At 42.7% G+C, this 10,805-nt stretch overlaps 1 protein-coding gene and 1 pseudogene across 3 annotated transcripts in view, besides 1 other annotated feature; one reads left to right on the forward strand and one right to left on the reverse strand.

The window, feature by feature from the left end:
- ABRAXAS1 (abraxas 1, BRCA1 A complex subunit) overlaps nucleotides 1–9,315 on the reverse strand; it is a 25,584-nt gene extending 16,269 nt beyond the window's left edge. For all 3 annotated transcript variants that reach the window (XR_001741334.3, NM_001345962.2, NM_139076.3), the window contains exons 1-3: nucleotides 9,201–9,315; nucleotides 6,369–6,459; nucleotides 858–894 (exon numbers count right to left, since the gene is read on the reverse strand). Coding sequence is in view for 1 of the 3 variants with exons in the window: in NM_139076.3 (NP_620775.2) it covers nucleotides 858–894; nucleotides 6,369–6,459; nucleotides 9,201–9,287 (215 nt within the window). In the remaining 2 variants the exon portion in view is untranslated. The remainder of the gene's footprint in view (nucleotides 1–857; nucleotides 895–6,368; nucleotides 6,460–9,200) is intronic.
- SLC25A14P1 (solute carrier family 25 member 14 pseudogene 1) lies at nucleotides 1,653–2,836 on the forward strand (annotated as a pseudogene).
- Nucleotides 9,041–9,530: a silencer, noted in NCBI's record as "silent region_15542". NCBI's record gives its function as "represses an Ori minimal core promoter by ATAC-STARR-seq in GM12878 lymphoblastoid cells {active_cell/tissue: GM12878}" and the evidence as "EXISTENCE:reporter gene assay evidence [ECO:0000049][PMID:35858748]".

Raw genomic sequence — 10,805 nt, forward strand, 5'->3', positions numbered from 1 at the left:
ACGTGTATGTTATACTCAATAAAAGCTAAAAAATACACAATGTATTAGAGTTAACAGTACTATGACTATCTGTAGGACTAAGTGCAAGCATTCATCCTAGAAAAGCAATAAGAAACAGGTTAAAGAACATAACCAGTTGAGTGCAATGGCTCACGCCTGTAATCCCAGTACTTTGGGAAGCAGAGGAAGGAGGACGGCTTGAGCCCAGGAGTTTGAGACCAGCCTGGGCAACATGGCAAAACCCTGTCTCTACCAAAATATAAAAATTAGCTGGGTGTGGTGGCTGGTGCCTGTGGTCCCAGCTACTTGGGGGGCTGAGGTGGAGAGGGTCACCTGAGCCCAGAAGGTGAAGGCTGCAGTGAGCTGTGTTCACGCCACTGCACTCCAGCCTGAGTGACAGAGTGAGACCCTGTCTCAAAAAGAAAAAGAACATAACCAGCTAACAGACAAAAAATAACACTAAAAAATATAAGTGAGGAACCAGTTGCTAAAATATGCTGAAATAAAAGGGTAGAAAAAAGGGCTGCTATTGATGATGTATAAGAACACTTCATTTACTGAGTTTATAATATGCAATGAGGTGACTGGGTGTGAGAAGAAAAAGCAATTCTCAACGTAAACTGGTGCCTGGGAAAGGTAATGAAGATCAGCATTAAGTAATATAAATACAGAGAAAGAACTGCTAGGGTTGACAATACACAAGTGATTTTTTCAGCTATTTAAAAAAAACTTTCCATTCTACTCAGTACCACCATGTATAGGTTATAACTAAGATAATCTGTTAGTTTTAAAAACTATTTCACTTGCAGAGAGTAATTTTCACAATGGATCATTTACTTACTAGCACTACTACTTACCTAAAAAGCTGATAGCATGGAATATATTTCTGAATGTCTGGAAGAAAAGGATTTTTAGTTATGATTACATTAATTCAATTCAGAATCACCTGAATGCTGCATATTGAGCCTTTACCTCACGCCAGGAAGTACTTTACCACTGATTATCTGATTTTTATCCTCACAACAAATCTGCGACATATACTATCATTATTCCCCTTTCAAAGATGATATAACAGGTAAAGAGAGATAAGTGGCTCACCCAATCCAGTGGTAGGGCCAGAGTTCAAAACCCAGAGCCTCGCCTGGAACCACAATGCTATATTTCCTCTAAATAACGGTCTAATAAGTCCAACACAAAAGATAAATTCAAAGTTGTCACATTTTCACCGAGTTCTAAAAAGGCTGTGCTCTAAATGTGCCCAATTAATAAACTCACCTGTTAAAGGAATTTAAAATGATGAAAATCTCCTTAACCAAAGCAATGGAATAATATGTTGATCTTGGATTTTACGTGTTTAAACATCTGTGATAATCCAACATTTAAAATAACTGGAGCAAATACCTTAGAGCTTAGCACTGTACCTAATACCACAATGCAGTTGCTCAGTACACATTTGCTTAATTAAATGCCTAGAACTATGTTAGATACTTTGGGCGGCACGCTAATTTCAATTAGGGAAAAAAAATGCTCTAAGGGCTTGCTTTTATTTTTTAATTTTTAAAAAATAATCTTGTATTGCTATAAAGGGCTTGCTTTTAAAACTCAAGTGTCCGAACCAAAAAAAAAAACTACAGTAAAATTATAAACTACAGGGTTTTAATGCTTCCGGGTTGCCACTGCAGTGGCATTTCTGACTGTGGGAGCCTCAGTTTCCCAGTCATCTGATGAGCCTGAGCAGCAGCAAAGTACCACTGTAAGCCATGAGATGTCTCGTCTGAACTGGAAACCCTTTGTATATGACGCCTTGCCTCTATCACTGCTGAGTTTGGAACTTTCCCCATGGACCTTGCCAAAACACGACTTCAGGTAGGTTCAAGGCCAAAGCATTGATGTCCGTTTCAAAGAAACAAAATATAGACGGATGTTTCATGCTTTGTTTTGGATCTATAAAGCGGAAGGTGTATTGGCTCTGTATTCAGGAATTGCTCCTGTTTTGCAAAGACAAGCATCATATGGCACCATTAAAATTGGGATTTACCAAAGCTTGAAGCAATTATCTGTAGAACGTTTAGAAGATGAAACTCTTTTAATCAACATGATCTGTGGGGTAGTGTCAGGGGTGATATTTTCCACTATAGCCAATCCCACCGATGTTCTAAAGATTCGAATGCAGGCTCAAGGAAGTTTGTTCCAAGGGAGCATGATTGGCAGCTTCATCGATATATACCAACAGGAAGGCACCAGGGGTCTGTGGAGGAGTGTGGTTCCAACTGCTCAGCATGCTGCCATCGTTGTGGGAGTAGAGCTACCAGTCTATGATTTTACTAAGAAGCACTTAATATTGTCAGGAATGATGGAAGACACAACTTTAACTCACTTTGTTTCCAGCTTTACATATGGTTTGGCTGGGGCTCTTGCCTCTAATCCAGGTGATGTGGCAGGCACTCACGTGATGAACCAGAGGGCAATCGTGGGACATGTGGATCTCTATAAGGGCACTTTGGATGGTATTTTAAAAATGTGGAAACATGAGGGCTTTTTTGTATTCTAAAGGATTTTGGCCAAACTGGCTTTGGCGTGGACCCTGGAACATCATTCTTTAAATTACATATGAGTAGCTCAAGAGGCTTTAAATCTAAGGACTGAATTATATGTGAGCCCAGCCCTGCCAGCCTTTCTACTCCTTTTCCCTTTTCCCGTGTTCTAATGTATTTTGGCAAAGTTCTAAGTGTTTACCAAACCGTTGGTCTCCTAAGGGCCTCCTGATGGAAGAACAGTAGGATGTTGGTTCAAAGTTATTTATATGTTTGTGTTACCATGTTAACTTTTCCCTGAGAGAAAGTGTTAACATTGAGACTCTAGCCCCAGATTGGTATCTTCTATGAAGATGGATACTAATGGATGACACTGAAAATGGCCTGCTTTCCAAATGTGGGTTAAATGTAACTGGTTGGGCCCCAGACTTGGGCTAGAGCAGAAGGCATAGGCCAGGGTGGTTACTGCTATATATATTATAGACCTCGGTTCTCATTAAAGTGTTTATTGACAGAAAAAAAATTATAAACTGTATTAGCATATGTATAAAACATGACAAAAGCCCAGTTTCCTTAAGTAATGTGATTACAAATCACTAAAAGCAAAACAGTACAAATGCAGCCAAAGAATAGGCCTATCCTTTTCAGAGAAAATGGCCAAGAAAAAAAGTAAAAAGTATCAAAAAAATACTTAACCTCTTTTGTAATTAAGAAATGCAAATTAAAATGCTATTTTTTTCACTTATCAAATTGGCAAAGATTAAAAGATTTGATAATACCTAGTGTTGGCAAGAGCATGGGGGCCGGGCATGGTGACTCACGCCTGTAATCCTAGCACTTTGGGAGGCCAGGGCGGGCAGATCACCTGAGGTCAGGTGTTTGAGACCAGCTTGGCCAAGATGGCAAAGCCCCATCTCTACTAAAAATACAAATATTGGCTGGGTGTGGTGGCAGTCGCCGGTAATCCCAGCTACTCGGGAGGCTGAGACAGGGATAATCACTTGAACCCGGGAAGCAGAGGTTGCAGTGAGCCGGAATCCCACCACTGCACTCCAGCCTGGGTGACAGAGTGAGACTCTGTTTCAAAAAAAAAAAAAAAAAAAGAGTATGGGGACCTAGGCACTTTTATATACTGTGGAGAAGCCTAAAATGGCATAAGTTTTCCAAAAGGCAATCAGCTAGTCTACCTCCAGGAGTGTGACTTTCAAATATACACTCAACAGCACAAAGAAATGTACAATACTAAATGTTCATGGTAATACTGTTTATGTTAACAAAAAAACCCAGAAAATCATTCTTAGATGGTTAAAAAAATTATGGTACGTCTATACAACAGGATATATGCAGCCAGCAGAAAGAATGATGGGCCGAGTATGGTGGCTCACCCCTGTAATCCAAACACTTTGTAATGACAGGAGGATTGCTTGAGCCTAGGAGTTTGAGACCAGCCTGGGCAACAAAGTGAGAACCTGTCTCTACAAACAATAAAAAATTAGCCAGGCGTGGTGGTGCATACCTATGGTCCCAGCAATACAGGAGGCTGAGGCAGGAGGATTGCTTAAGCCCAGGAGGTCAAGGCTGCAGTGACCAGTGTTTGTGCCACTACACTCCAGCCTGGCTGAAAGAGCAAGACCTCATCTCAAAAAAAAAAAAAACAAAGAGTGATGAATTATACACACAGATACTATTCTGTACTTGTGATATCTTGGGAGATATTAGGCACATATAGTAAGATCCCATTTGTGTAAATAAAAAGTATACACATTTGGCCGGGCATGGTGGCTCACGCCTGCAATCCCAGCACTTTGGGAGGCCGAGGTGAGAGGATCACTTGAGGTCAGGAGTTCGAGACCAGCCTGGCCAACATGGTGAAACCCCATCTCTACTAAAAATACAAAAAAAATTAGCCGGGCATGGTTGCGTGTGCCTGTAATCCCAGCTACTCCGGAGGCCGAGGCAGGAGAATCGCTTGACCTCGAGAGGCAGAGGTTGCAGTGAGCCGAGATCATGCCACTTCACTCCAGTCTGGGCGACAGAATGAGACTCCATCTCAAAACAAAAACAAAATGTATATATACACATATATATACACACACACATTTACATTTGTGTGTTTTATGAATATTGCAAGCTAGTAAGAATCCATGAAATAGTAGTTGCCACTAAGGAAACTAATGAGAGTTTAAATTTTTTATTTCCTACTTTATATATTTCTATTTTTAAACTTGTAAAGTAGCAAACAAAAATAACATACAGTATGAGTACAAACTGATATAATCTTTCCGGAAAGCAATCTGCTAATGCAGATCAAAAACCTTACAAGTGTTCATACCCTGTGACACAGTAATACCATATCTAGGAATCTATAATAGATAACGCCAAATATTGATATACAAGGATATTCACTGTAGTATACTTTATGATAATGAAAAACTAGAAACAGCTGATTATAACATATTTAAAGGAATGTTTAAATCACAGTAAGGCCACAGGGTAGAACACAATGCAGTTATGAAAAATAGTATTGTAGGCCAGGCATGGTGGCTCACGCCTGTCATCCCAGCACTTTGAAAGACCGAGGCGAGTGGATCACTTGAAGTCAGGAGTTCAAGGCAAGCCTCGCCAACATAATGAAACCCCATCTCTAATAAAAATACAAAAAGTTAGCCGGGCGTGGCAGCACACGTCTGTAATCCCAGCTACTTGGGAGGCTGAAGCAGGAGAATCGCTTGAACCTGGGAGGCGGAGGTTGCAGTGAGCCGGGATTGCGCCACTGCACTCCAGCCTGGGCAACAGAGTGAGACTCTGCCTCAAAAAAAAAAAGAAAAGAAATGAAAAATAATATTGTAGAGGATTATGCAACATTGTAAAGTGATCATGACACAATATGATGCCAAACCTTTTATAAAGTACACTACCAATTTTGTTTAAAAATACATACACATATATAGAGAAAAACTATATTAGACAATCAGAAAACTCCCTATACATTTTATTTCTTTTAACCATTTTTTTCCCTATGCATTTTAAAGGTTCTCCCCTGCTTTTCCCTAAAAGAGAAGCTGCCACCAGTTATAACTGCTTTAGCACCCACTCCTCAAACCCTTTACAGCCTGGTCTCTTCCCCATTACGCTCCAGAAATTACTGAGGATTTTCAGTCATCTAATAATCTAATTACTGCATTTTCTCAGTTCTCATCTTCCAACTTTTCTGCAGCATTTAACATTTTATCTTTTTCCTTGGTCTTCCTATTGCCGGGCCATCTTCCTACTAAACAGCAGGTGTTTCATCCTTGTTTCCCTGGCAGTAATCTTATCTGCTTCCTAAGTCTCATACTATTTCTTACTTTAGACCAGTCCATGGTCATAATTTTAACTGCAAAATGAGTACAACATATCCTTTTAAATTATTTTAAAATTAATATATATTTCTTATTTTTCTTTTTTTGAGACAGAGTCTCGCTTTGTTGCCCAGGCTGTAGTGCAGTGGCACAGTCTCGGCTCACTGCAACTTCTGCCTCTCAGGTTCAAGCAATTCTCGTGCCTCAGCCTCCCAAGTAACTGGGATTACAGACATGCACCACTACACCTGGCTAATTTTTGTATTTTTAGTAGAGATGGGTTTCACCATGTTGGCCAGGCTGGTCTCAAACTCCCAACCTCAGGTAATCCGCCTCGGCCTCCCAAAGTGCTGGGATTACAGGTGTGAGCCACCTTGCCCAGCCTCTGTATTTCCTAATTTAAAAATAATAATTTACGCTGACCCCTTTCAGCATAAACTATCAAATATAGGAGACACAGATGATTCAAATATAGGAGAAATAAATAACTCACCAATTGTATAAACAACTTCAACATCATCCATTTGGGAATCAGTAATGCTGTTCTTGGCTTCACCTTTTACTTCCCCAAGAAGAAAACCTTCCTATGAAGATAAAGAGGCAATATATAGAATACACTGATAGAATTACTGTTCACTTAACTAACCGTATTTCCTGAGTATTTTACTATGTATACAATATGTGCTACCAGTCGGGGGCACATATGAAAGATCTGAGATGCTTCTAGTTTACTTGGGAAAGATGAAGAGTTAAATAAAAATGAGAAGAGGCTAGGCAAGATGGCTCACGCCTGTAATCCTAGCACTGGGAGGCCAAGGTGGGCAGATAGTTTGAACCCAGGAGTTAAAGACTAGCCTGGGCAACAGGGTAAAACTCCGTCTGTACAAAAAATACGAGAAACATTAGTTAGGCATGGTGGCACATGCCTGTAGTCCCAGCTACTTGGGATGACGTGAACCCAGGAGGTTGAGGCTGCAGTGAGCTATGATCACGCCACTGCACTCCAGCCCAGGCGATAGAGTGAGACTCTGCCTCAAAAGAAAAAAAGTAGAAATAAAGAGGAGAGGAAGGGAAAGAGATTAGTCTAGCCTGAAATAATCAGAGTAGCCCTGGGGAGGCTACAGATTAGCCCTGTAGCCCTGGGGAGGCTACAGATTAGACTAAAGCTATGGGCAATATTTGTGTAGGCAGAGCATGAAGCACTGGGCACACTTGGAAGCATATAAGACTTAAAGCCAGAAATGAGCACACACTGAAGAATGAGCAGAGCACTTTGCCTTGGAGCAGAAGGAAATCAAAGATAAATAAGAACGAGCCAATAATGGGACACCCCGAATGACTACTCTGGATTTAACCACATGTGCTTCTGGGAGTTACAGAAAGCTTCTAAGGTACGAAATGACAAGATTAGTGTTTTCTGATTAAAACTCATGCACAATATGAAAGATTTAAATTCAATTTCAGAGTCTGCTTTCTAAAAGGAGTGCTGTGAGCCCGATTCTTTTAAAACTACTTGTATTCTGCCACCCCAGTGGTAATTTATCTGAGTTTTGGGGAATTCAATTTCTCTAGGCACACTTAAAGACCCAATGTGCTTGACAATGAAGATTTTATATCTTTTTTTTTTTTTTTTTTGAGAAGAGGTCTAGCTCTGTCATCACCCAGGCTGGAGTGCAGCGGTGCAATCACTACTCACTGCAGCTTTGACCTCCCAGGCTCAAACAATCCTGCTGCCTCAGCCTTCCAAGTAGCTGGGTCTACAGGCACGTGCCACCACGCCGGGCTAATTTTTAAAATTTTTTTGTAGACATGAGGTCTCCTTATGTTGCCCACGCTGGTCTTGAACTCCTGGGCTCAAATGATCCTCCTGCCTCCGCGTCCCAAAGTGCTGTGATTACAGAAATATTTTATATTCTTTATAATTAATAATGCTTTTTTCCCCTAAAAGTAAAAAAGGATTATTTCCATAATGTGAGTCTTTACTGGAATCACGCGGGGGGATATCCAGAATCTAGTGTTCTTGATTTTGATACTCAAAAGACGAACTCAGGGAAGGGAAGCAGGGGGGCAATGCAAGTGCAACTAGCCAGAAAAACCACCCTTTAAAGACTTCAGGAAAAAGATCTGAGAAACAGGGGCCTCCCTAGCACTCAGGTACTTCCCAAGGGCTAATCGTTTAAGCTACCGAGGATTTACGGTCCCACTCTATCTACACTACAGGTATTCCAAAATAATTTCCACAGCTACACATATATTTTAAATGGTCATATATTTGTTCTTTATTAGGTATTACTTTGTAAGGTTATCTGAAATTGTATACATAAAACATACCAATTCCAACCTTTATTAGGATTGTGCCAAAGAGCAATTTTGTAATGTTTAGATTTTGTAGAGACCGGGTCTCACTACGTTGTCCCCGATGGTCTCGAACTCGTGGGCTCAGGTGATTCACCCGCCTCGGCTTCCCAAAGGGCTGGAATTACAGGCGTGAGCCACCGCGCCCGACCTATATTAAGGCAATTTTGAGTAAAATAGACGTTATATCTTAAAATGAACTTAGCAGAAATTACTAGGCATTGTTCAGCAGGGTATTCTCCGAACTGTACCACACAGCAGGGAAGTGTATTTCAGATGCTTAGACTTTCTTTCTGCAAGTTACTGAAAGTGCTACAGGACATTAACTACTTCCGAGCTCAACGTTTTACAGCGTTTCTTTAATTTCATAGAACTTTTAGAAAATAGGCAACGTACTTTTAAAAACTGTTTTAACAAATTTAATAACGCAAATAAAAAGATATCTGATATACCAGATTAAGCTGTTCCATCCACTAAGATTTGCCACTGGACGCAACATCTATTTTTATTCCCTTACCATCCTACCATCGCAACAAACACGCACAGACGCTGCTCTGCATGAAAAAGTCCGCCTGGTTTTGCAAACGCCTGTCGGGCGTCGCGAGAAACGGAAAGTTTACCGCAGGCTCCGCAGAGCAGCGGAAAGACGCTCCGTGAACTTTCCATCTTTTCACGCCCAAGTTTCCACAGCTACAGGGGCGCCGAGGAAAGATGGGAGCGTGTGGGACACTTGGGTCGGAAAAGGGAAATAACGGAGGATAGCAGAGGGAGGGCTAATGCTGGAGAAGACTTCGTGGGCACGAGGCACCTCAGGGACCGCTGAGGGGGAGAGAAGGCAGAGCCGCGACCGCAGGGAGGAGGCGCGGCGGCGTCGGGGGAGCGGGCGGGGACCGGAGCAACAGCGGGGAGGCAGGCCGCGCGCAGGGCTCTTCCCAGGCGACGCCGGACCCCGCCCCGTCCCTCGGCTCACCGTGTCCGAGTCCGTGTTGAGGTGCTGGAAAGCGAGTGCGCCGAGCACAAAGCCCGAGAGCACCGCCGACGTACTCTCCCCCTCCATGCTACCGCCGCCTCAGGCTACACAAGAGGACGAGGGCGGGGCGCGCGGAGGCAAGACCCTGTGGTGGCAGCGAGGCGGGGCCCAGCGAGGAGGCGGGGCCTGCGCCGGCGCACGGGCTGCTGCGCGCTCCGCAGAGGGGCGGGGCGAGGGGGCTGAGGGCGGGCGCGGGCGGGTCCCCAGCCGCGCGCTCGGCTCCTCCTTCGCTTCTGCTGCCGGCCTCTCCCGGAAGGCCGCTGCATGTCGGTACCACTGCAGAGGGCTGCGAATTGCTTTTGGTGGCCTGCGCCTGCTGAGCGACCTGTCACAAACATGCAAAGCTATCAAAATGAACACGGTTGACAGGGTCATTTTAAGACAAGCAATGATTACAAGAATAAAAGAGTTGAGTAGCAACATTACGATGCCACAGTGGATATGCCACGGTTTTGGTTTTCAAGCTGCATTTTAGCACCCTTCACTCACTGAAACTTACAGAATACTAATAACCATTTGGGGATTGTCTTTGCTAGAACTCTCTAGCCATGTTCTGTGTCTGTGTGTTTGTGTGTGTGCATGTGTGTGTTCCCTTGCTTTTAGAAAACTTCAGCCTAATTTAAACAATACATGGATATTTAATGTTCTGACAGTTTAATGATAGGCATAATCATAGTAAGCTGGTTCATTTAATGTAAATGGTAAGGTGAGTGGACCAGGGCTTGGCAAATGTATTTTACACACACACACACACACACACACACGTAAAGGTATGTTTCTTAAATGACTGAAAGTAAGCATAATAGCAGACTACTGAATTAGTGTGGCACATTTGTGGGTTTTGTTGTCAAGCAGTTGTCTGTGGCTGCGTAACACACAATACATATGTATATAATTAATGATTATATATTTATTCCCTAGAATTAAGTTTCTTGCCTTCATTTTGTAGGGGTGAAGGGAAAGCTCTGCCCTCTGAAGGTTCACTGGAGTGAACTAACAAAAGAAAAGATGAACAGAAGGAAAAGGGATACGAATTTATTTTATTTTTTATTTTTTTGAGACTGAGTCTCGCTTGGTCACCCAGGCCAGAGTGCAGTGGCACCATCTCAGCTCACTGCAGCCTCCACTTCCCGGGTTCAAGCGATTCTTCTGCCTCAGCCTCCTGAGTAGCTGGGATTACAGGCACGTGCCACCAAGCCCGGCTTATTTATTTATTTTTTTTGTATTTTTATTAGAGACAAGGTTTCACCATGTTGGCCAGGCTGGTTTCGAACTCCTGACCTCGGGTGATCTGCCCCCTTCGGCCTCCCAAAGTGCTGGGATTACAGGCGCTCCCGACTGGCATACAAATTTATTAATGTGCCCTGGAGAAAATCACAGTAGAGTGATTACCCAATAATCCAATGAGGTTCAGATGCTTATGTACACTTTTTCATAAGGGAGAGGGAGATGGAGGAATGTAAGTAATTTTGAGGATCACAATTGATTCTTTGGATGAGCTTGAGGGATTGCTTGCAAAGAATTCTTTGTGGAAGTTGGATGAGC

This window comes from Homo sapiens, chromosome 4 (assembly GCF_000001405.40).
Source record: "Homo sapiens chromosome 4, GRCh38.p14 Primary Assembly".
NCBI classification, from domain to species: domain Eukaryota; kingdom Metazoa; phylum Chordata; class Mammalia; order Primates; family Hominidae; genus Homo; species Homo sapiens.